Raw genomic sequence first — 27,761 nt, 5'->3', positions numbered from 1 at the left:
ACTGTACTCCAGCCTGGGCAACAGAGCAAGGGTCCATCTCAAGGAAAAATAAAAATAAAAATAAAAAAATCCCAAAACCAGAGTATAATAAATAATCCCACCATCACAGTTCATCGTTGTATAGAAAAGAGTCATCTATAATGCTTCAAACTGAGCCTACTCAAAAAAAAAAAAAAAACAAAACAAAAAACAAACAGGAAAAAGCAATGGAGTATTAGTCAGACTTAAAAAGGAAGAAAATTCTGACATGCTGCAACATGGATAAACCTTGGGGACATCATGCTAAGTAAAATAAGCCAGTTAGAAAAAAGACAAATACTATTTCCAATATATGAAGTACCTACAGTAGTCAAAATCACAGAGAGAAAAGCAGAATGGTGGCTACCAGGGGTTGGAGAAAGAGGGAAATGGGGAGCTGTTGTTTAATGGGTTGAGTTTCAGTTTTGCAAGATGAAAAAGTTCTGGAGATTGGTTGTACAACAATGTGAATATATTTAACACTACTAAACTGTACACTTAAAAATGGTTAGGATAGTAAATTTTGTTATATGTTGTGTACCACAATGAAAAATTTAGGCTAGTTACCGTGGCTCATGCCTGTAAACCCAACACTTTGGGAGGCCAAAGGAGAGGATCATTTGAGCCCAGGAGTTTGAGACCTGCCTATATAACACAGTGAGACACTGACTGTCAAAAAAAAAAAAAAAAAGAAAAGAAAGAAGAAGAAGAAGAAAGAAGAAAGAAGAAAGAGGAAGAAAGAAGAAGAAGAAGAAAAAAGAAAGAAGAAAGAAGAAGAAGAAATCAGCCAGGCGTGGTGGCACACGCCTATAGTCCCTGATACTTGGGAGGCTGAGGTGGGAGGATCACTTGAGCCCAGGAGTTCGAGGCTGCAGTGACCCATGATCATCCCACTGCACTCAAGTCCGGGTAACGAAGCAAGACCCTGTCTCAAAAAAAAAAAAGAAAGAAAAGTTAAAAGAACAAGAAGAGCAAAGTGTCTGACCCTTAATTCCTGTAAGTACCATGTGTCCACGATCTAAAAAATAAAATCAACAACCACCCAGAGAATAAGCTGCAAAGCAGTCTATATTATTTATAGCTACTTGTCCTCAACATGCATGTCAGAATTTGACTCTAACATATCGCATACCCAAGAATTGTGAAAATATCCAACAAAAGACTACAACTTTTAAGGGCCATTTTCAAGTAGCTATGCGAGCCTTTTTATGTTGTTCAAGTCAGTTTTTAAAAAATCCATTGCAGATATATTAGGCAGCATATCAATCCAACAAGAAAGCAGAGAGCCAATATCAGTAAATCAAAGTGTGCCTTTCTGTTAATACTCTCTCATATGTTCTCATTTTATACACCCCTTCACCCAGTCAGAAAGTGGCCCTGGAGTATTTAGGCTCCATTCAGGGATAGCACTACCATGCATCAAAGTGTCAAGAGACCTACCAGAGATGAAATCTGCAAATCTGTACTTCTAACCACCAAAAAAAAAAAAAAAAAAGTTTATCAAAGTAAATGTCACCAGTGGCCCAATACATGGACAACTTCCTATAAAGAGATTTAGAACACAATTCTTATTTCTTTGCAATATTAGGGCTGCATTTCCTTCTAGATGGCATGTAAAATCTGAGACAATGGGACAATCCTTTGCTGCAAATGGTAAGCCTCCTCCAAGCCAGAGCTGACAAGAGTGAGGGAAAGACTCTCTCCCGGAAACTCAAATCCAACAGTGAATTCTTCCCAGCCAAAACAAACAAATAAACACATTTAAAAAAAAACCACTCTCTATTATTCATACAGGACTGAATTCTAGCTGTTCAACCCTGTGAATAATAAATAGAATGAATCAACAGTTTCTAATTCACCTCTAATTTTTCTCCCAATTATTACAAGAGTTAAAAGTTAAGAAAAGCAGCAAAGATTCATATACTTTCTTCCCTCTCCCTCTTGGCACATGGCCACAAAACAAACGGATACTGTCAAGAATATATATGTTTATTTTACCCTACATGGTCCATTTCCAAAGGTCTTTCCCTTAAGAGGAGATTAAGAAGGACATATGCCTCATCATATTACCAAGATTCAACCTTAGCATCTGGCCACCAGCTTTAGGAATAATTTTCAGTAGAGGATAAATGTAAACAGTACTTTACTGGGGGTTAGGGGCCCTGTATTTCAACTGACACTGTCACTAACTAGTCATGTTATGCTGAATGGACCAATTTAATCTCTTTGAGTCTCAATTTTCTCGTTTATAAAATGTGGACAAGCCTTTGCTTGTCCTTACAAAATAAGGTAAAAATAGTAACTGTGTTATTATATATTAAGGCATTTTAGAATTTTTTTAATGCTGTAAAAATAGAAGGCATATTACTATCAAAAATCATATTTCACATGGTAAAAATCTTAAGCTCTGCTTGTACTAGGATTGGACAGTATTCACAGACTCCTATATTAGGTATTCATTTATATGCTACCCATATGCAAGCATTCTATATATAAAATGTCACCAATCTAAAAACCATTTTCACCTAACAGCTTTATTTTTTTCCCTGATTCATCTAGGCTGTCCAACATAAACAAAACTGTAAGCGAGGAATAAGTTTGGGCATGGACACACAGTTCATTAATTAGATTATAAACCAGTAAGTACAATTTCTGGCAATGGCGTGAAGCGAGAACAGGAAGAGTGAGTGTATAAAGTAAATAAAGCTTATCAGTTTTTAAATATCTATACAGTTGTTTTTAAATAAATACGCAAACATTACAATTATTTATGTACAAGTACACATAAACTCCCCCATTCATATTACCCCAGATAAATACATTGAATTGGAATTTACAGATTACAAGAGCATTTTTTTCTCCTTCAAAAGTAACTCTAGAACTAGAGCTAAACTATAGGTCAAAATGACACACGATATATTGGCCTGAGAACAATACTTTTCATTCAAATCCACACAAGCCTGCCACTTGCACTAGTCATCCCCAGCAATTAATCCCCCAAGAAAGACGTTTGATTAAATCTTTTCAAGCAAATCCTTTGCTTTGCTTTTGTTAGTTCACTTCTTGTCAACATCTATTAAAATATGCCTTTAATTCTCCCACAATCTTAAAAAACACCGATTCCACTGTCTTCAACTTTAATCAACTGTATGGCCGGCATTTTTCATTTCATAATAATGTGCTGCTTGGAATTCAAGAGGCAGGCTCAGCATCAATCATCTGGTAAGAATTTTTCCACTGCAATAAATATGCAAATGAGGAGAGCCAGTCAGTCGTATTTCAGGCCCGACTTGCTAGTGTTTTAAAAAAGACACAAATTTATTAATTGCCGGTGGCCAGAGGAATCCTATTACTTTGGGCATTGATTACAAAGCTGTGTGAGTGATTATTGTGCAACTCGCGGGCTACCCAGGCATGAGGAAAAATTATTAAAGCAAGGCAGAGATTATCAACTCAGAATAACAATAAGCCTTAACATTTAGGCCCTAACTTCTTCAACAAAGAATTGCGTGAAGGCTCCACTGTATCATAATTCCGAATTCTGTCAGTATTACTGTTTGGGCTTGTTCTATATTCCCCAAGCAGAATGGCGTTACCAGTAAGACAGAGGACTGCAGGTTACAAATTCCTCAACATCAACCATTTGGATAAGTTGCTATCATTTCCAACATATGGCCAACTAGAATTTCTAGATATCCAAGTGTATATACACATATACAGGTATATGTGTATATATATTCAGATTTAGATAAATGTGTGTGCTATTATGAGGACCATGGTTTTAACTGGAATAGTGTGAGGACTTCTGTCCCAGTTTGTTGGTGAGCTCTGCGGACTAAAAGTAGAATTTTTTTTTTATGGTACAAAATAACCACAAGGAGAACTTTTCAAAGCAGAATGTAGAGACTTATATTCTAAAATCATGAAGGCTAAGCCAAAAGCAGACGTGGGTTTTCATATCTCAGAGGGCACCACAGTAGAAGGCGTGCGATCTATGCAGGAGTGTATGGAGGAAACAACTTGATAGGCTAATTCTGAATGCAAAGTGTTTTTGTGAGAAACGTTCAACTCAAGATATATTAAATCAAATAAGAAAGAGGATTCAGTGGACAAAACTTATTTTTTTCTTTTAAGAGAATGATGTGGGGAATTGGGGGAGTAAGTACAAGTTGAAATAAGGGAATGCTGAAGAGACATATGATAAAATATATGTTGGGTGAGTCTCCTCATAGAAAGAAACAAAAAGAAAAAAAAATTCTTACCATTTTACATTACTGCCACACTAAGTAACATGATAGATAGTGTGCATTTGAGTTCTGTGGAGGGACATCCCACTCAAGCTGTAATTTCTGACCAGGCATGAATTTATAAGGAAGGGAAAAGAACTGCAGAATTTCTTAGGTTTCCCTGAATACTCTCTCAAATACCTTGATGAAGTATGTCAATAAATCCTTAAAAAGCCCTATAGGACACAGCAATCTAGCTGATCAATGTACTTCCTGAAATCTACTACAGTTACCTTCCACTTCACAGTTCCTAGACAACCTGCATCGCTACTGAGCACTTTGCCAAAAAGGAAAATTTACTCTCCCCCTTTAAACAGAAAAGAGTAAATGTTCAGAATATGAGATACTTAAAAACCAAGTTTATTTACAAGTACTGTAATTGTTTAAACTGTCTTACAGTAGTTACTCAGGGAGAGTGCGGATACTTTCATTTTTATTTGATATACTTTTGAACTGTTTGAATATTTTATAAGCATATATTACTTTTACAATTTAAAATTTTATTAAAATTTAAAATAAACTGTGAAGAAAGGAAACTTATTAAAAATAAAATTAGAACCACAATCCAAGTAACCCCTCTGATTTTTAAGAAGTCTCACTCTTTCATATTATAACGTCTTTAAAAAAAAAAACAGCCTCTGCTGTGGTGAAACTGTCTCTAAGCAAATGCCCAAATTCTCTCTATAGTATGGGTCTGGAAAAAACTGATGAAAATGGAGATTCAGAAAATACCTTTCTAAAACAGGGATTCCATGCAGAATTAATCACTCCTCTCTCAGGATTCTTCATATCGTTACAACACTTAACCATTTTGTGCTGTGTCTGATTTCACCACCTTAAAGCTGCTTCAGGGCAGCTTCAGCCTGTCATCCAGCATCCAACACATCACCTGGGCCATAAAAGGTATGCTACAAATGTTTTCTTCATTTAGAGAGATGTTGCCTAAGTCGCATGGCAGAATATGATCACACTACCACTTCCAAATCTAAATGCTGACAAACAAAATGTAGACTACATACTTCCTAACTTTAATATCAACTATGTATCTTCAACAAACTGACCTTTTGTTAAGCAAGTAGTCAAACAACATTTTCTTTATTTTAATATACCAACTATAAGATAATCGGGCTACTCCCGATTATCTTAGAGTGTCTCAAAACCATTTTGCCAGACAGAAATTTAAAAACAAAAACAATTAACAACTTTTGCTAGGCACATTACAATGCATTCTCCTGAAAATTTAGTAATTACCATCGCTTAAATTGAAACACTGAGACTCAGAAAATAAAAGATTGTTTTAATTGTGTTTCTTTTAATACTAGTAAGACTAAGGTTTGTTTATTCTCCAACTCAAAATGAAACACTTTGAGAGGTTGTGTTTACGTAAAAACACTTAAATGATGCTTTAAAAGCAGCTTCACCTTACTATGAGCTCCTTGAGAGCAGAAACTGTAAACTACTCACTTGGGTATGTTTGGTGTTGGCAAATGGTATTGAATGAATAACTGAAAAAGAAATAATAACATCCTAATATCTTCCTTGGTATGTACTTTTTACATGTGCATTTCAAGTCTTCAAAGAACTAGCTGTATGTATAGTACTGTCTTTATTCACCTAATCCTTTCAAGAAGAGGAAAACAAATACTGTGGCCCAAGAGCTATATCCTTAAAAGATTGTACCATCACTATTCAGATTAATAGTTAATACTCAGTAAGGACCTGCTAAGTACCACACACTCGCCTAAGCACTTTATATGTACTAATTCATTTAAGTCCTCTAACAATCCTTTGAGGTAGATACTATTATTGCATCACCATTTTACAGATACAGAAATTGAAACACTACTATAAGCTTAAAAAACAATTGCACAGTTTTCATTTTCTAGATCAATGTACCCTTGAGGGTTATGTATCAAAACTATCTGGGAAACAGAGTGTAATGAAATTTTCAATTACTAAAAAAATGACAAAACTTCCCTCCCCAATACCATCACATGATAAAAAACACAAGTGAGATTCTGTTAAAATGTCATGTCCAAACTTGATTCCCACACTTGAAAAAACAGTGGAGACACTAAAGGAAGCCCACATCACATGGATGGAAAGCAGGTCCAGTAAGGCAAGATAAAGCAATACTTGCTGAATTTGAAAGAAGAATGTTAACAAATGGATTAATAGTCTCCAAAATTCAAAAGCCCATGTACATCAGAGAAGATGCTTAGCTTTACTAATAAAAATAATTTTTTAAAGAAAAACTTAAAACAGTGGGATATTTTTCTGATAATGCTTGATGCTGGCAAAAACGTGCCGAAAGGGGCACTCTGCGTACACAACTGATGAGTTTAGTTAGCATGACATAGCCAGAAAGCAATCTGGCAAAACGTATCAAAGTTTTATATATGCCTAGCTCCTGACCTACTGTTCTTCTAGAAACTAACCCTCAGGAAATACTTTTAAAGCAAAGAGGTAGGTACAAAAATGTTATTTGCAGCATTGTTTATAATAGGTAGAAACTGCAAACATCTTAAGTGTCCATTTATAGGGGACTACTTAATTTTAGTTTAGCCAGGTAACTTTTTGTGCAGCTGTTGAAAAGGATTAGTATAAAATGGAACTTGGCTTAAGTAAACCAAACTATAAAAAACTTTTTGGGATAAACGAAGTAAAGTGAATATGAAGTACGCATACAGTATTAGGAATATTAATTTAGTTAGGTGAGATGACAATGTTACTAAGAAACATCCTCATTTTTTAGAGCTATAAACAGAAATATTTAGAGGCAAATGGCATGATTGTAATTTACTTTAAAACGCTTCAAAAAGAAAAAAAAGCAAATATAACAAACATTAATTTTAACGAAAAAAAAGACCTGCAGGCATTGACATGGGAAGATGTAAAGCATAATTTCATTTATGTTTTGAAAAAAGTTTATATTGACACAAAGTATCTGGAAGTCAGATAAATTATTTAAAATGGTTATCTCTAGAGGACACTTTTACGAGTGGGAAAAATAATACTTTCACAATCTACGTTACATATTTCACTAAGTATTGTTGGGCAGGAAGAAACAGACTCAGTACTGTCTGAAAGAAAATAACATCTCACAACAAACAAGTTTTACTTTTATTATTTTTTAAGGCAATTAAGATTAAACTTCAACAATACAAAGAGGTCTTCTGAGGTAGATATAATTCCAGAAAACCAAACAAGAAGAAACAGATTAAAGCAAAAAAAAGGAGAATTAGAGTGGCATTAAGGTTGACTGACAAGAAGATCATCTATCCCTAGAACCAGTTCAAAATTTTCCCTGTTTGATTCACAAAAGAAATAGCAAGGACCAATAAATGTAAGGGAGCAAAAATGTTTATCTTCATTAAACATTGGGAAATGTAAATTAAAATAACAGATACCATTTCCCAGATACCACTTGTCAAAGTGACAAAGATGAAACAAAATTATTGTATCCGATGTTGACAAGGATAAGGAAAACTGACACTCATATAAAAAGGTGAGCATGTACAAATACAACTTTTCTGGAAGGCAACTTGGCCATATAGATAAAAAGCCTTAAAATTTTGCATATTCTTAGAAAATATACTAATTCCACATTTAGAGATTTATGCAACAAAGTAAGTATGCATATGAGTAAAGATTTACTAATAATGATGTTTACTACATCATTTATAAAAATGAAAACCTGGAAACAATCCAAATGTCCAACAATAAAGAACTGGTTAAACTATCCACACAATGGAAACTCTATGCTATCATTAAAAATAATGCTATAGAACAATATTTAATGACAAGGAAAAATATTCATAATTTCTGTTAAGTAGAAAGAAATGGACTGCAAAACAAATTACAGAATAGAGTCCCATTTTTGTTCTAAGTACATAGCCACTGAGAAGAAAAACCTAGAAAAGATATTTACCATGTACCAAAATATTAAAAATACTTAACTCTTAGCTGCTAGGATTAGGGAAGAAATATTTCCTTAATTTTGCTTGGCTATTTTCTGTCTTTTCCTTTTTTTTTTTTTGAGATGGACTCTCGCTCTGTCGCCCAGGCTGGAGTGCAGTGGCACGATTTTGGCTCACTGCAACCTCCACCTCCCAGGTTCAAGCGATTCTTCTGCCTCAGCCTCCCGAGGCAGGGATTACAGGCGTATGCCACCACGCCCAGCTAATTTCTGTATTTTTAGTAGAGACAGGGTTTCACCACGTTGGCCAGGCTGGTCTTGAACTCTTAACCTCTAGTGATCCACCTGCCTCGGCCTCCCAAAGGTCTGGGATTATAGGCGTAAGCCACCGTCCCCAGCCTGCTTGGCTATTTTCTAAATTTTATATAAGGAATACATATTGTATTTTTATAATTTATCATGAGAAAAAAACATTATTTATCACCTAAAAAATGGTCTTACCTGCCTAAAGGAGAAGGAACTAGATCAGCTGACCCCCTGAAAGTCTAACTCTTAGTGAATGAAACAGTATCCAGGAAATAGCATCTTTAGAAAAACTGAAGGACATGTCTACTTCTTGTGCTCTAAGCCTTCTGTTCTATAACAAATTCATCTCCATATTTCTCCTGCCTTCATTGCTTTAAGCTGTGACATTTATTCCATATCTATGTTTCTTCATACTCTCTTTGAAAAGGGGAGAAAACCCTCAGATGAAAAGAGTTAAGTTAAACCATATGCATAGTGAGTGGGCAGTGTGGCCAAGAGCAACGTTTGTGAGGCACAGCAGACCTCAGTTTCTACACTGGCTTTGCCTCTCACCAATTGTGTGACTGTGTTGTACACAGTCCTTTAAAAAAAGGATAAATCCTTTAAAATCCTTTAAAAAAAGGATTTACTTTCTACTTTTTCACCATAGCCCCCTCTTTTGAATAATTTGTTCCTATTTTGGTACAATGTATCCTTAAGGAGTTTCAATGAGTTGTGAAATAATTGTTACTCACAAGCAAAAAGAAAGGAAAAAAGAAAGAAAGAAGAAAAGAAAAAGCAGGATTAACTGCAATTGCCCTTACAACTGAGAAACTTGCATCTTGCACTTTCACCATGTAAATAATGCACAGATCCTGCGGGAACATGCCAAACACCAAGATTCTTAATTAATGGAGCTCTTTAATGTGCAAATCAGGAACAAATTGCAAGTTCTGACTTGCATTGATTATGAAAACATTAATTGAATGAGCAAGACCCTAAAAAAGACAGAATCCCGAGTCTTCCAAGAGACAGAAAGAATACAAAGCTCTGGAAACCAGACAAGTCTGACCAATGTCTAAAATGTAAACCTAAAACTGAGTGTTCTCACTAGTAAACAATGAATTAAAAAACAAGAAACAAACAAAAAACCCCAACAGTTTCATCAGACAGCAATCATGATAAATGCATCTATTACACTATCATCTTGCATTAGGAAAAAAAAAAAAAAATGTTTACTCCAGAAGCTTACAGACACTGCTTTAAGAGGGGGAAAAAAACACTTTCTATACACACACACTTACATGTATATAGGTGTAACAAAACAATGCTGTCTCTTTAAAAAAAAATTCATCCTATATAAATTATAGCCATAAACTTTTCCTGCAGTGCAGCCTAATTAATTCTTGTTCTATACACAAAGGGAAATGCTGGGTGACAAATGGGTGTGAAGCCAGAAAGCTGCCAGGTCTGCAAAACATTTTCTACTTCAATTTATAAGCAATTTTGCAGTAAATCATCAACCAGAACCTGGAATCTCAGGAATCTCTGAGTGTCCAAACCACATTATATCACTTATCAAAGAGAGAAGGAAAAAGAGTTTAAAGACATCTCATTTTTCAGTTCTAACCCACATCAAAATCTAGAAGCTCTGTGTAATCTATTATTCTCTTCTGGGTAAGGTTTCAGTACCAAGGATATATATTTCAAGCAAAAATGACACTATAGGTTGATGTGGCCCATTCCTCTATCCCTAGAAGTACTGTATCATGTATCCATTACCATAAGAAATATTCCCAGAGTTATCTGGGAATAAGCACACATATACCCCCTCCCTCAATCCAAGCAAAACGTACACAACAATCAAGCCAGGCTGAAGGGTTCAACAGAGAGCCACTGTGGAAAACAGGTGGAAAATACTCCAAGGAAACAAGATTAGTGGAGAGGAAAATAGAAACTCATAGAAAACAAAGAAGAAAGCTGGGCTGCCTCTTTGCACTCGGACCTTTCTCCCATTCCTAATCCATGGTAGCCACTGATCTGTCCCAATAATTTTACCTTTTCCAGAATGTCATATAAATGGAATTTCCAAGTATAAAATCTTTTGAGGCTGGCATATTTCACTTAGTATAATACCCTTGAGGTTCATCCACGTTTTTGCATGTATCAATAGTTTATTCCTTTTTATTGCTGACTAATGTACAATTTGTTGCACATTTGGACATTTGGGCTGTTTCCAGTTTTTGGTGATTATAAATAATGCTGCTATGAACGTGCATGTACAAGACTTTGTGTGAATGTATGTCTTCATTTTTCTAGGGCAGATATCTAAGACAGAGACTACTGGATCAGGCTCGTATGATGAATATATGTTTAGCTTTATTTAAAAACTGCCAGACTGTTTTTCCAAAGTGGCTGTACTATTTTGCATTCCCATCAGCAATGTATGAAAGCTCCAGTTGCTCTACATTCTTCCCAGCACTTGGTGTTGTCAGGTGTGTATTTGTGTTTGGCCTAATAGGTATGTAGAGGTATCTCCTTGTGGTTTTAATTTGCATCTTGCTAAACATTAATGATTAAGTTAAATCTCTTTTCATGTGCTTATTTGCTATCATATATTGTCTTTGGTAAAGTGTCCAATCTTTTGCCCATTTTTTTTTGAATGGGTATTTTTTATTGTTGAGTTTTGAGAGTTCTTTATACACTCTGGACACAAGCTGATTGTTAATTATGTGATCTGCAAACATTTCCTCTTGGTCTATAGCTTATCTTTTCATTATTTTAACATATCTTTCACAGAGCAAAAGATTTTAATTCTGATTTGGCCCAATTATCAATTTGTTCTTTTATGGATTCTGTTTTTGATATTGTATTTAAAAACTCTTTGCCTAACCCAATGACATAGAGTTTTCTCCCATATGTTTTTCAAAACACTTTATGATTTATATTTAAGTTAATATAAATTGACTGTCTTGTGTTAATTTTTATATCAAGTATGAGGTACAGGTTGAAGTTTTTTTTTTGCAAATGAGTGCACAATTGTCCCAGCACCATTTGTTGAAAAGACTATCCAGGCCGGGAATGGTGGCTCATGCCTGTAATCTCAGCACTTTGGGAGGCCGAGGCAGGAGGGCAGGAGTTCGAGACCAGCCTGGGAAACGTAACAAGACCTCATCTCTAAGAAAAATAAAGAAAATTTAGCAGGCCATGATGGCATACACCTGCAGTCCCAGCTACTCAGGAGGTTAGGGTGGGAAGACTGCATGAGCCAGGAGCTCAGTGCTGCAGTGAGCCATGATCGTCACTGCATTTCAGCCTCCACAAAAGAGGAAGACACTGTCTCTTAAAAAAAAAAAAAAAAAGAAAAAAGAAAGAAAGAAACTATCCATTCTCCACTGACTTGACTGACTTGACTTTGCACCTTTAAAAGTCAACTGCCCATTATTTGTATGAATTTGTTTCAGAACTCTCTATTCTATTCCACTGATTAAGGTAACTTTTTTAAAAAGTAACTTTTAAAAGGAGTAAACCCACAAAAGAAAGGCAAAGAATGAGAGACAGGATAGCAACTCAGTTCTGTAACCTACCTATACAATTATTAGAATGTTTAAAATTAAGAACATACCAAATGTTCTGAGGAAGTGGAGCAACTAGAAATCTCATACACTGCTGGTGGGACTGCAAAATGGTATAACCACTTTGGAAAATAGCTTGGCAGTTTCCGAAGTTAAACATGCATTTACCATGCGACTCAGCCATTCTATTCTTAGCTACCCAAGAGAAATGAAAGTCTATGTCCATATAAAAACATCTATACAAATGTTTGTAGCAGATTTATTTGTAATAGCCAAAAACTGGAAACAAAACAAATTGTGGTATATCCATACAATGGGATACTACTCAGCAACAAAAGGCAATGAACTACTGACACAAGAAAAAATATGGAGGATGCTCAAAATAATTATGCTGAGCAAAAGCCAGACTAAAAAGGATACAAACTGTATAATTCCACTTATATAGATTTCTAGAAAATGCAAACTAACCCATAGTGACAGCAGATTTAGTGGTTGCCTAGGGACAAATAGGGAAGGCCAGGAGGGAAAGATTATAAAGAGGCTGAGGAAACTTCTGGGGATGAGGAATATGTTCATTATCTTGACTGGTGATGGTTTCCCGGGTGTATATAAATGTCAAATTACACACTGGACATATGGGCAATTTATTATGTCAATTATATCTCAACAAACCAGTTTTTGAAAAAGCAAATGGACAAATAATAACTGACTTAGCTAACCTAAGCAAGATGACTGGGGTGCTAGCAATGAAGAATCAGATGCAACCTCACTTACAGTCCAGAAACAGAATGCAGAGGACTCAGGAACTGGCAGTGCCCAGCACCTCTAGAAAAGGAGATCAAAGCAGGCCTAAAAACAAGTGGAGCAGTTAAAATATCATATCTTCTTATTTAGACAAAATTTAGAGGTTTATCCTTGAAGAGAGCTAAAGAGAGGGTCTCTGGACAGGGAGATTCCAGATCATAGTTGAGGGCAAAGGCATAATATTGAAAACAGGGGGACTAAGCTGAAGTTTACAGACTGAATGCCTAGATCCCCAAGCCTACCCACCTCCTAGAATGTTGGCCACCAGGCAGGAAACTGGAAGTCCTCTAGATTTTGATCTCATAAAGAGCAAAGATCTAAAGACACTGCCATTGGGAGTTCTTCCAAAATGGTGCAGATAGATTGCTTTACAATGGAAACCATAGACAAAAAGCCCCATCCAACATACAAAGTTCCCAATCAACTTTTTGGTATGATACACTTAAAAATCAACAGAGACCGCAGAGGATCACCAAAAATCCAAGAAAAACATGTAACATGTTACACAGGAGTTAAAGCGAAAGCAAAAAAACAACAACAAAAAAAGCAGCTTAGAGGAAACAGACTATGCAGGAAGAACACATACAAAAATACATAGGCCAGGCGCTAAAGTTCACATCTGTAATGTCAGCGCTTTGGGAGGCTGAGGCAGAAGGATCGCTTGATCACTCGAAGCCAGGAGTTCAAGACCAGCCTGGGCAACACAGCAAGACCTCATCTCTACTAAAAATAAAAAATAGCCAGATGGGATGGCATGCACCTGTAGTCCTAGCTACTCAGGAGGCTAAGGCAGGAAGATAACCTGAGCCCAGGAGTCTGAGGCTGCAGTGAGCTATGATCACACCACTGTACTCCGGTCTAGGTGACAGAGTGGGACCTTCTCTTGAAAAAAGAAAAAAGAAAAAAACCCAAACAATAAAATAAAATAAAATAAAAATATGATAGAAGAGGCCATCCACGGTAGCTTACGCCTATAATCCCAGTGCTTTGAGAAGTCAAGGCAGGTAGATCACCTAAGCTCAGGAATTTAAGACAAGCCTGGCCAACACAGCAAAACCTCATCTCTACAAAAACTACAAAGAATTAGTTAGGCGTGGTGGCGTGCACCTGTAGTCCCAGCTACTTGTGGGGCTGATGCAGGTGGATTGCTTGAGCCCAGGAGGCCAAGGCTGCAGTGAGCCGAGATCAAGATCAAGCCTGGGTGACAAAGTGAGAGCCTATCTCAAAAAAAAAAAAAAAAAAAAAAAAAAAAAAGAAAGAAGGAAAGAAAGAAAAAGAAAAAAGAAAAAAATAGAAGAAAATTTTAAAAACTCAATAGAAAGTACTGAAAATAAAGCTGAGGAAATGTCTTAGAAGAGAGAGGGAGGGATGAAAAATTGAAGAGAAAAAGAATCACAGAAACAGTCTGATGCCAAGTAATAGGCCTTCCAGAAAGAGAGAGGACAGAGAGAAAGGAAACACAGGGGAGATAGTAAAAAACAAAATAATTTCAAGAGGATTTTCCAGGACTGAAAGATATGAATTTCTAGATTGAAAAGGCCCTCCAAGTGCTCCAGACAACAGACAAAAACAGATCTACGCTACGGTGCATCATTATGAAATTTCAGAATTCTGTGGACAAAGAAAAGTCTGCAGTTTCCAAAAAGAAAAAAAAAAAAAAAAAGGCAAGGTCTGGAATCAGAACAGCTTCTGACTTACCAATTGCAACTTTAGAAGCTGAAATACAATGTAACATTCTATAGAATTCTATATACAAACCATCAATTGTGATGATAGAATAAAGGTATTTTAAGACAACTGAAGTCTAAAAAAATTTACCTCCCACACACCCCTTCTCAGCAAGCTATGAGAGGATGTGCAACAAAAATTGGAAGTAGCCAAGAAAGACTCTGGAATAGGAGATCCACAGAAGCAAGAAGCTAAGGTAACACCCAGGATGACGGTGAAGGCACATCCCAGCATGACAGCTGGACACCTGAGAAGGTGAACAGGCCAGATGACAGCAGGTCGAAAAGCTCTGGGAGAGACTTAAGGAACATCAACTGGCACAATATTTGATGCAACTTTAGACTTGAGAAGAGATTTAGCTAACTGGAGAAAAGTTTGGGCTTGAATTACTACACAGAAAACTCAAACAAAAATGTAACAATCAACTCTAGAAAACAAAACAATGTGTGGGAAAGGAAAATAATCATAGTGTATTTATTACATGGCTCAGCTGTGAAAAGTGTTTACAGACATAATAATGTAAATACTGAACACTGATCTAACCAAACTACAATATAACCACAAAGGGACAAATTAATAACATAACCAGAAAGTATGCATGAGTGTAGTAGGAATAAGAGCTAAATCTTCATTTTTATAAAGGGGAGTCAACAAGTAATGCCTAAAACTGAAAAGTCAAGTAGAAACAAACCATGTTAATTAGAGAAACCCATGGATTCAAAACAAAAAACAAAAAAAGATATAACAAAATAACTTAAAATTGTTGCTTCAGGAGAAAGGGTTATGGCACAGAAGTGATACACCCAAGCAGCAGACTACTGGTTTTCATAACAAGCTTCCTAGAATTATCTGACTCTTTAAATTGTATATAGGTATTGGATACAAATTTTAAAATGAGGGCACAGTGGCTCATGCCTGTAATCCCAGCACTTTGGGAGGCCAGGGCAGGAGGATCACTTGAGGCCAGGAGTTTGAGATCAGCCTGGGCAACATGGTGGGCAACCCCATCTCTACCTCCTCCCCTCCCCTGCCAAGAAAGGAAAATGTCCAAGATAAACAAAACATCTGGTTGAGACAGGAACAATTCCAGGAATTAAAATGACTTTACCACAACAACAACAAAACTTTAAATTTACATCCTATACTCTTATTAATTATACAGAAAAGGAACACTCAGGAATCAAAAGACCCCTTAAAGATTAAAAATATGATTTAAAATGAAAACTTCAGGGTGGGCATGGCGGTTCACACCTGTAATCCCAGCATTTTGGGAGGCTGAGGCGGGAGGATCACTTGAGCCCAGGAGCTCAAGACCAGCTTGGGCAACACAGTGAGACCTCATCTCTACCAGAAATTTTTTTTAAATTAGCCAGGCACAGTGGCACACACATGTAGTCCCAGCTACTTGGGAGGCTGAGGCAGGAGCATCACTTGAGCCCAGGAGTCTGAGCCTGCAGTGAGTTATGATCACATCACTACACTCCAGCCTGGGCAACACAGCAAGACCCTGTCTTACAATAAAATAAAATATGTACTCAGCAGCTTAAAAATAACAACTTAAAAAATTGATTTTTTTAAAAAAAATCTGGAAATCAGCTTCAAAAATCTTTCGGAACATAAACATGGTAAAATCACAAAAAGATGGAAAATGTTAAATAACACATAAGAGACACAACACTAATTCAGGCTTAAAATCTAGGAGAACAGAGAAAATGGAAGGAAGAAAATTATTAAAGAAATATTAGAAAAGATTTTCCCAAAACTGAAGGACCCCAGTCTTCATACTTACTAAGGTAAATGTTTAGCATAATAAATAAAAAATGACCCATACTTAGACATCTCTTCAGGCAATTTCAGAAAATCAAGAATAAAGACAGCCTGGGGAACACTGCAAGACCCCATCTCTATAAAAAAGAAAAAAGAAAAAAATTAGCTGGACGTGGTGGCACGCACCTGAGGCCCAGCTACTTGGGAGGCTGAAGTGGAAGGGTCACTTGAGCCCAGGAGTTCGAGGCTGCAGTGAGCCATGATTGCACCACCACACTCCAGCGTGGGCAAGAGATGAAGGCCCTCTCTCAATAAAAAATAAAAATACAAGAAAAAATAATGAAGAGAAGATCCCAAACATGTCCAGAGACCAAAAATAAGTCATCTACAAAGGAATGAGATTCATACCTTGTCACTGGAAAACACTGGGATGGTAGAAGACAATAAGGCACATAGTAGGCTGAATAATGGTCCCCCAAAGATATCTACATCCTAAACCCCAGACATGTGAATGTGGCTTTGTCAGTAACATATTAAAAAGTCAAAAGGACTTTGCAGATATAATTAAGGATCTTGAGATTATCCTGGATAAGCCAGGTGGTCCAATGTGATCTCAAGGGTCCTTATAAGAGGAAGGCAATAGGGTCAGAGTCAGGAAAGGAGAGGTTGGAGAGATGGAATTGCTGGTTTTAAAGATGGAAGAGGACCATGAGCAAAGAATGTGGCCGCCTATAAAAGCTGGAAAAGGCAAGCAAACAGATTTCTCCCCTAGAGCCTCCAGGAACAAAGCCCTGCTGACACCTTGATTTTAGGACTTGTGACCTCCAGAACGATACGATAATCAATGTGTGCTGTTAAGTCACCAAGCTTGCGGTAATTTGTTACAGCAGCAAGAGGAAACCAGTAACAGGCAATACTTTCTAATTCTGAGGGAAAGTAATTTTCAATCTAGAAAGGTCTACCCAATCAAACAAGAATACATCAATGAGGAATGAGGGCACAGTATTTTCAAACCTACAAGAACTCAGATAACTTACTCTGGATGCATGTTTGGCAGCAAACTGACAGTAAACTGAGATAACAAAAGAGAGCCTGAAAACCCGAAAGCGGTAGCTCTCCCCAGAAGAGCAATGAAAGGCCCAAGAGCACAGCTGTGCACTACTCCTAGAGAACAACCAGCTCAAAATGGAAAATTTAACACAAGAGATGGCATGATGTAAAGTTTAGGAAAAAAAGGATTGAGATGATAAAACTGAGCTACAGTGGGGGGGAGGGGGGCAAAAGGGAAAAAATAAATAAATAGGAAGCGAACTGAAAATAGCATGATTTTAAGCAGGTAATGGAGAGCAACTAAAAACTTGAACTAAACTAGGAATATTCTCCTTTGAGTGGCCTAGGAGCCATGACTGAAAAAACAGGGAAGAAAACACAATTTTCCAATTCTTCCCTGTCCTAGTAGTCTACCTTATTTACATGGTAATACACTGTAAATGCAGTTTATTGGTTTTTGTTTTGTTTTGTTTTAAAGACAGTCTTGCTCTTTCACCCAGGCTGGAGTGCGGTGGCGCAATCTTGGCCCACCGCAACCTCCACCTTCTGGGTTCAGGTGATTTTCCTACCTCAGCCTCCTGAGTAGCTAGGATTACAGGCACCCGCCACCATGAGATGGTCCACATTGCTATCTAAGGCACTCCTGTGCACTGGCCCATCTCCACTCCATCCCCACTCACCCACTATAGGACACTGTGACAACAGATGTCCCCCTCTCCTGCATCATCAATTTCCCCCTCTCTGCTGGGTCACTCCTATCAACATGCAAACACGCTGATACTTCACCTTAAAAAAAAAAAAAAAAAAAAGCAAAACACCCCTCTTTTGACCACATCCTTCACCATCCAATGCCCCATTTCTCTGCTCCCCTTTAAAGCAACAACCCTTCAAAGAGTTGCCTATACTTTACTATTTCATTTTCCCCATTCTCTTTTTTTGTTTCTTTTTTAAAATTAATTTTTAAAAATTGAGACAGGGTCTCACTGTGTTGCCCAGGCTGGTCCTGAACTCCTGGGCTCAAGTGATCTGCCCATCTTGGCCTCCCAAAGTGCTAGGGTTACAGGCGTGAGCCACTGTGCCCAGCCACTCCATTCTCTCTTAAACCCATTCCAGTCAAGCCTGTAAGCCTACTAGCCTGCCAAACTCCATCAAGGTCAAGGATGCCCACCATGTTGCTAGATAAGTCAGTTCTCAATCCCCATCTTACTTCCATTAGCAGCAGTCTCACCTTTCATATCAGAGAATAAATAAATCAAGACAGAGATATAAAGAAATTATCTAAAGTTACAGAAGTAAAACAAATAAAATGAGACTGAATGTCAGTCAAAGGAGTACTGTCTTCCTGAAGGCTTCTGTATATTTATCTTACTCCTGTGTGATTTTAAAAAAACAATTTAAGAACAGGTTTTAAGACATAAACAATAGAGTATCATCTTATGCAGCAGTTGGGTTCTAAAGTCTAAGCATAAAGCAAAAAATCAAGTTTTGACAAAACCACTTTGAAAATCCCTTATATTGTACATAATGTGTGGCATTGTGCTATCTTTCAATAAGTTCAACACAGCCAGTCTTTCCCCTCTAACATTAGCCCATACAGCACTTTGTCAATTAAACACAGATGATTCAATTTAGGGACCGTCCTGTACAAAGACTGCATGTTGTAACTTTAAGCACTAGATTGATATTCTGTTGATCGATGCTCACTAAAGAGGTACCCAAGAACAAAAAATAACCAAGGCAATAAAAGAATCCACCTGCCATCTCATGCATACCCTACGCTCACTGAATAAAGTGGCAGGCAGAATTATTGGCACTATATAAACAGTTTCTCTCTCCTTGGTTTTTGTTTTGTTTTGTTTTGTTTGAGACAGAGTTTTGCTCTTGTCAGGCTGGAGTGCAATGGTGCGATCTTGGCTCACTGCAATCTCCACCTCCCGGGTTCAAGCGATTCTCCTGCCTCAGCCTCCCGAGTAGCTGGGATTACAAGCATCCGCCACCACTCCCGGCTCATTTTTTGTATTTTTAATAGAGAGGGGATTTCACCATGTTGAACTGGTCTCGAACACCTGACCTCAGGTGATTCGCCTGCCTCGGCCTCCCAAAGTACTGGGATTACAGGCATGAGCCACAGTGCCCAGCCTCTCCCTCTTTTTCTTTTGGCCAGGCACATATAGTTACGTTTGAGTTAATTAAATGTACATATAAAGAGGTTCCATTGTGCAATGATATGTACAACTTCACCATGAATATAGTGACACAGTGATCCTACTATGGAGCTACTAGCTACTCCAAGTCAGGGCTACTTTCTTATCTAACTCATTACTATTAAAAATTATTTTTCTGAGCTACTCTGGGCCACTCTGCCTATGGGATAGCCCTGCTCTGTCTATGGAGCAGTCAAAAAAAAAAAAAAATTGTTTCTGATGCTGAAGACAACTCTCACTCCTAAGAAACCCAACCCCAAAACAGTGAAATGCATTTTCTAGCTAGATTGGTATCAGTAGTTTTTAAGCTGCCCTTAGCTCACACAGGTCTGTGACCCATTTAGGGCTTATACTCTTAGGGTAGGTAGAATCAGTGCATAAGAATCTGACACTCCCCTCCTCATTCCACCACTTGGTGACTTTGGAAAAGTTCTTGCTCTGTGATCCAGCTTTACTCTCTACATTATATAAATGCCTAATTAACTAAGTTGGACAAAGTAGTAGCTCAAAAGGGACAAAAAGTCTTCCTACACAGAACTCACTCTCTAATAAATAGATAAAACACTGCATATGTTATTTCAGTGCTAACAGGTATTATGTAAATACCAAACAGAAACTTATCAAGAAATGATTGCCTTCATTTCCCACCTACAGTTTAGCAAAAAGAAGATCAATAATACCTAGTGGAGGCAGGAGTGTAGGAAAACAACTGTTACAGATGAGAATTTAAATTGTTACAATTCTTCCAGGGGCTAGTTAGGCAATATATTCCAAAAGCCTTTTTAAAAAAACAATGTACAAGGCCCAGCACCGTGGCTCACGCCTGTAATCCCAGCACTTTGGGAGGCTGAGACAGGCAGATTACCTGAGGTCAGGAGTTCAAAACCAGCCTGGCCAACACAGTGAAACCCAGTCTCTACCAAAAACACAAAAATTAGCCAGGCACGGTGGTGGATGCCTGTAATCCCAGCTACTCAGGAGGCTGAGGCAGGAGAATTGCTTAAACCCGGCGGGGCAGAGGTTGCAGTGAGCCGAGATCCTGCCATTGCACTCCAGCCTGGGCGACAAGAGTGAAAACTCTGTCTCCAAAAAAAAAAAAAATCAATGTACAAGTCCTTTGTCCCAGCAACTACATTTCCAGGGAATATAGATCTGGGCAATATGATACAGTATCCACTAGCTACACGTGGCTACTAAGCACTCAAAATGTGTCTAGTCCCAATTGAGATGAACTGTGATTATAGAATATACTCTGGATTTCAAAGACTTAACATGAAAAAAGGAATGTAAAATATCTCATTAAGATTTTTATATTGATCACATATTGAAATTATAATATCTTTGATATATTGGGTTCAATATGTCTAAAATTAATTTTAACTGTTTCTTTTTTAAAATGTGGTTATTAAAAAATTTTAAATTACATGTGGCTTGCATTATATTTCTACTGGACAGTGCTATTTTTAGACAAACTGCACAAATATGTATGTACAAGGATGTTTATTAAAGCATGTTTTATACAAGTGAATAGCTAGAATAAACCTAAGCACCCATCAATACAGATTGGTTAACTAAATTGCAGTAAATCTATAAAAAGGAATACTTCAACTCCTAAAAATGCTGATGTACATCTAAATATACTGACATGAAATATTAAGTAGGAAAAATAAGCTTGAAAATAGTACATACTTATATGATTCCATTTTCTGTTTTAAAAAGTGTGTGGTGTGTGTGTGTGTGCACGCGAAAAGGTCTGGAAGGATATTCATCAAAATGACAACTATGGTTATCTCTGGGCAGTAGGATTACAGCTAATCCTTATTTTCTTCTTTATGCTTCTATGTATTTTCCGATCTTTGAAATAAGCATGACATACTTTTATAATTAGAACACTGAAGCTATTTTAAAAAATGATAGCCATCAGCTGAAGCAAAAAGATCAATCTTACTCACATCATCTTGGCTAGATGAAGTCTGCAGCAATAAGGGTCCTTAAGCCTACACAATGTTACAATTAGAGGGGGTTGCAAGTGCCTTTATCCCAAGCAATACTTAAACCCATCCCAAGTAATTAAAAATATTTCAAGGTTCTACAGAACATTGTGAGAACTTTGCCAAGAACCCATAAAGTGTTAACTGAGAGAACTCCGAAATAATCATTTATGGATTTGTCACCTAAGGCAACTAAGTAATTTAAAAGGGGGGGATTTCAGTGATAAAATTGGTTGCCTGTGGGACAGGGTACTGGGCGGCAGGGGTACAGGATTATCACTGTATATATAGTCTTTAGTATTTTTGAATTTTGAACTATGTGAATGTACTGCCTACTTAAAAATAAGTAAAACTTTAAAAACAAAACATTATCAAGACTCCATGATTTCCCACAGCTTACGCAAAATTTAAAACATTATTATTTAAGGTATCTATTATTGCTGAGGACAAATTACCATTAAAAATTTTAGTCTAGCCGGGTGCAGTGGCTCATGCCTGTAATCCCAGCACTTTGGGAGGCCGAGGCGGGTGGATCTTGAGGTCAGGAGTTCAAGACCGGCCTGGCCAATATGGTGAAACCTCGTCTCTACTACAAATACAAAAATTAGCTGGGCGTGGTGCTGCATGCCTGTACTCCCTGCTACTCCGGAGGCTGAGGCAGGAGAATCACTTAAACCCGGGAGGCAGAGGTTGCAGTGAGCCAAGGTCGCACCACTGCACTCCAGCCTCGGCGACAGAGCAAGACTCCATCTCGGGGGGGGAAAAAAATTTTAGTCTAGTCAAGTCAAAATAATTGGGGCTTTTGGGCAAGGACCACAAAGATATGAGAGTGTAAGTATGAAATGGGAAGATAACAGGGTGCAAACAAAATATAATTTATTAATAGTGAAATCTGTTTTCATACTCTTAGGAAAGTAAAAAATCTTAATACTTTCTCTGTATTTATATTACATTATGCTGTGTTCTTGGATGTTTTGCTTACGGGAAATATCAAAATGACAACCATTGTTTCTATTAAAGGTCTTTAATGATATTGCATTTTAGACCTGTAATGAAACATGGTGCTCACTGCAGTTTGTAATGCATCTCATTAAATACATTAATAACATGCATTGCACTAAAAGGTCAACTTATTATGACTGAAGTTTAGCTTTCCTTTAATCACTTCATTTAAAGCTATAGAGCAAACTCTGAAAAAGACAGTAGAGTACCCGTTACAGAAATACTCTCTAGGACCTTTTGCCTTAAAGAAAAGAAAAAAAACAAAAAAGACATTTACTTACAATTTTCCCACCCATCCAAATCAGTCATGTTTTTTGTTTGTTGGTTTGTTTGTTTTCTTGAGACAGACTCTCGCTCTGTCACCCAGGCTGGAGTGCAATGGCATGATCTCTGCTCACTGTAACCTCTGCCTCCTGGGTTCAAGCAATTCTCCCACCTCAGCCTCCTGAGTAGATGGGATTACAGGAACCCACCATCATGCCTGGCTAATTTTTGTACTTTTGTAGAGACGGTGTTTCATTATGTTGGCCAGGCTGGTCTTGAACTCCGGACCTCAGGTGATCTGCCCACCTTGGCCTCCCAAAGTGCTGGGATTACAGGCATGAGCCACCACACCCAGTCTGTATGTTTGTTTTTTTTGAGACGGAGTTTTGCTCGTTGCCCAGGCTGGAGTGCAGTGGCGCAATCTCGCCTCACTGCGACCTCCACCTCCCGAGTTTAAGAGATTTTCCTGTTTGGCCTCCTGAATAGCTGGAATTACAGGTGCCCGCCACCACACCCAGCTAATTTTTTGTATTTTCAGTAGAGACGGGGTTTCATAATGTTGGTCAGGTTGGCCTCGAACTCCTGACCTCAGGTGATCCACCTGTCTTGGCCTCCCAAAGTGCTAGGATTACAGGCATGAGCCACCACACCAGGCCAGTTATGTTTATTAAGAAATTACTGTTAATGTTTTTACATGAGATTATGGTATAATTTTTTAAAATCCTTATCTTTTGAACATACATGCTGAAAATTTTACTGATGAGAGAATGTGTATTATTTGCTTCAAAATAATCCAGAAGGTGAGCAGAGTTGGTACAACTACAGATGAAATAAGATTGACCATGAATTGATTATTGCTTAAGCTGGTGAAGGCATGTGGGGGTTCACTGTGCTATTTCTCTACTTTTATATAAGTTTGATATATCCCATAATGAAAAGTTTTAAATAACTCATGGTGAGATTTCCTTAAGTAACTTCCCTTCTTCCTTACATATCATTGCCACCAACATAAAAGATGTATTTCCTAATACAGTAGAAATTCTAAAAGAGAGAAGGCCAGGCACAGTGGCTCATACCTGTAAGCCCAGCACTTTGAGAGGCCAAGGTGGGTGGATCACAAGATCAGGAGTTTAGGACCAGCCTGGCCAACATGGTGAAACCCCATCTCTACTAAAAAAAATTACAAAAATTAGCCGGGTGTGGTGGCATGCGCCTGTAGTCCCAGCTACCCAGGAGGCAGAGACAGGAGAATCGCTTGAACCTGGGAGGCAGAAGTTGCAGTGAGTTGAGATCGCACCACTGCACTCCAGCCTGGGTGACAGAGAGAGACTCCATCTCAAAAAAAAAAGAAAAAAAAGAAAGAGAGAAAAAGCAAACCCTTTTAGAGAAATGGTTTTGTGCACAGAAAATCCCTTAATTTTGTTAAGATTACTCCATGACTTACCACTTATGCAGCCACTAAAATATCAGACGATGTCTTTGAAATCACTTCCACAGTTCAAGTTTAAATTACCAACATGTAACACCAAGGTGACTGGGGACTAAGTTTACGTGTTTGGGGTGGTGTGTGGAGAGGAAGGAGATATTCATTTAGTTTCTGAAAAGTAGAGTTTAGGGTGCTGAAGCTACAAAGGCATGGTACTCAGGAGTTTACTGGAGCTAGAATACAGCTGGAAGTCTGTTATTTTAGAGGCAATAGTTAGGGTTATCAGAGTAAGTGACAGTGCCAAGGAGAGACTATATTGAGAAAACGCAACCTGAGGACAGGATTCTAAACGGAATGAAATTTACATTGAGAGGATACAAAAGGAACCAGAGAAGAGATCAGAAAGGTAGGAGAACCCAAACAGCACAGGTAGTGTCACCAAGCCAAAGAAAAGTATTTCAAGGAAAAGTTAAACGCTTCAAGGAGGTAGTAGCTGGGTATAGCAATAAGGAAATCTGTAGCCATCTTTCCATAGCGTCGTAAGAGGCCAACACTGCATTGTAAGTATTAGTAAACTATAACACTTTCCAGAACAATTAGTTAATTTAAATTATATAAAGAATCCAAATACTAATAAAAAAGTAAAAAACACTGAAGACTAGTGAGGCTCAGTTACACTGATAACTATTGAGTGATTGCTCACATGGTCGAACACTGCCAAATGCCTCTTTGAGCAGAAAAAGATAATATTAGTACCTAACATTCATGGTGAGATGTGTGCCAGACACTGTGCTAATGCTTTCTATTGATTATGTCCTTTAATCCTCACAACCATATTATCCCCATTTTACTGTGAAGTTAAGTAACTTGCCCAAGGTCACATGGCTAATCCATTGCTGAGATGAAATCTAAACCAAGCCGGTCTGACTTTAACTACTCTGTAAGACCAAGCAAATTGAAAAGAGATTTAATTAAAGACAGTAAGTTCCAGTGGTTGTTCTGGGGTTGGTACAAATTCAGCCTATGTTCCACACCAGCTATACAGCACAGTAATAAATTGGTCATCCAGAGTAATGTGCTCAAGAATTTTCTCTCTCTCTCTCTTTTTTTTTTCGGGGGGGACAGTTTCGCTCTTGTCGCTCAGGCTAGAGTGCACTAGCACGATCTCAGCTCACTACAACCTTTGCTCCCGGGTTCAAGTGATTCTCCTGCCTCAACCTCCCAAGTAGCTGGGACTACAAGTGTGTACCACCATACCTGGCTAATATTTTTATTTTTATTAAAGATGGGATTTCACCACGTTGGCTAGGCTGGTCTCAAACTCTTGACCTAAAGTGATCCGCCTGCCTCAGCCTCCCAAAGTGCTGGGATTATAAGCGGGAGCCACCGTGCCCGGCCAAGAACTTTTTTTTTTTTTTTGAGACGGAGTTTCACTCTTGTTGCCCAGGCTGGAGTGCAATGGCACAATCTTGGCTCGCTGCAGCCTCCGCCTCACAGGTTCAAGCAATTCTCCTGCCTCAGCCTCCCGAGTAGCTGAGATTACAGGCACCTGCCACCACACTTGGCTAATTTTTGTATTTTCAGTAGAGACGGGGTTTCACCACATTGGCCAGGCTGGGCTCAAACTTCTGACCTCAGGTGATCAGCCCACCTCGGCCTCCCAAAGTGCTGGCATTACAGGCGTGAGCCACTGCACCCGGCCAAGAATTTTTTTCTTAAAGTCTGTTTATCAAGACAGGGGAGTATACAACATATTATGTCATATTGCCACAAGAAAAATTAGCTACTCTTCAAATGCACAGCTCATTACTTGAAAACTCCCTACCCTCCCACCTTAGAATATGTGATACCAAACTTCCTTTCTTCTCCCTCCTCCACCACAACCCACCCTGTCAGATTAATAGATGCTGTCAGATTAATTGAGGTTCATCAATGAGGTAAAGGCAATTGGTTAAGTACAAAAAAGAGTAAAAAGATCAGAACAAAATAAAAGTTAAATAACACTGCAGTGATTAAAGACACTAAATGAGTTGAGTATGGTGGCTCACACCTGTAATCCCAGCATTTTGGGGAGGCTGACACGGAAGGATCATTTGAAACCAGGAGTTTTGAGACCAGCCTGGTCAACATAGTGAGACCCTATTTCCACAAAAAAAGAAAAAATTAGTCGGGCATGGTGGCTCATGCCTGTAGTACCAGCTACTCAGGAGGCTGAGGCGGGAAGATCACTTGAACCCAAGAGTTCGAAGCTGCAACGAGCTATGATCACGCTACTGCACTCCAGCCTGGGCAACAGAGCAAGACCCTGTCTCATAACAAAAAGAAATTAAATCGTATCCAAGAATATGTGTCCATTATACTGGACACTGACTAACCCCTAAAATATCTATATTTAAATATGAATTTTTTAAAATGAAAAAGGCTCAAGCAAAAAGAATAATGAGTAACAAAATGAAAACAGGCCTTATCGTGAAACATTTAAAACATTTAATCTAGAGCAGTCTAGGTCTCATTCCAAAGGCATACCAGGAATTAGGGTACTAGGACACTAAAAATAGCAGAGAAGTGCTCCAAAAATCTCAAAAAACTTGAAAACCATCAATCTGTCATCTATTTGAGAGAGAAAGGAGGCAAAGACAGGGGCGGGGATATAAATGGCCCACCTCACCCACACAGGCCACGTAAGGCTCCTGGGAAGGACTGCCCAGACTTCCCACAGGGGAAGAAGCAGACTTTAAGTGTGGCGGGACACAAAACCCAAAAACTGGACTCTAGGAAGCCATTCCTAATTACATCAGGTATTCACCTACAAGAAACGTTCACTGAACTCCCTACCTGGGAAATCCTACACATTGATCTTGAATGTCTTAAGGCGGTTCTACCTACAGGCAGATGCCAAATTAGATATCCTCCTCAGGTCCCTTCCAACTCTAACTCCATGATACTAAAAAAATAAGTTTTAAAGAGCAAATGAAAACATGAAGTCTCAGCATGCAAGTAAGACATATTGATCTCAGCTGAGCGCAGAGGCTCATGCCTGTAATCCCAACACTTTGGGAGGCCAAGGCCTCCCAAATATATATATAGAGAGATAGATACATAATCTATACATATATATCTATATCTATGGATATAGATATCTCTTTCATGAGGACTCTGAATATCTAGATATAGATATATACAGATCCCAAACACAGCACACTCACCCTAAATCTCCCTCTGCCCCAGTCCTTCAGTGCCACTGGGCACACAGGCAAGCAGCACACAGGAGGCAGTGTGGTGCAGAGGGAAGATTCCTACATCATAAGGTAGAAAAGTTGGAGCCTCATCTCCGCCATACACAAATAAGCTCTGCAACTTTGGGCAAGTCATTCTGGGTCTTAATTCTCTCATGTGTAAAATGAAGACATTGGGAACCAAATAGTCTCTCAATTCCTTTTCC

The 27,761-nt window shown here is 38.2% G+C and overlaps 1 protein-coding gene across 3 annotated transcripts in view, besides 1 other annotated feature; it reads right to left on the bottom strand.

Moving 5' to 3' along the window:
- Positions 1–27,761, bottom strand: part of AATF (apoptosis antagonizing transcription factor) — a 107,918-nt gene that overhangs the window by 74,460 nt on the left and 5,697 nt on the right. The gene's annotated exons all lie outside the window — the stretch shown is intronic.
- Positions 9,767–10,362: an enhancer, noted in NCBI's record as "VISTA enhancer hs363". NCBI's record gives its function as "enhancer in: hindbrain (rhombencephalon)[6/6]" and the evidence as "EXISTENCE:transgenic organism evidence [ECO:0001131][PMID:17130149]".

This window comes from Homo sapiens, chromosome 17 (assembly GCF_000001405.40).
Source record: "Homo sapiens chromosome 17, GRCh38.p14 Primary Assembly".
Lineage (NCBI taxonomy): Eukaryota > Metazoa > Chordata > Mammalia > Primates > Hominidae > Homo > Homo sapiens.
This window is presented reverse-complemented; position numbering and strand designations above follow the sequence as displayed.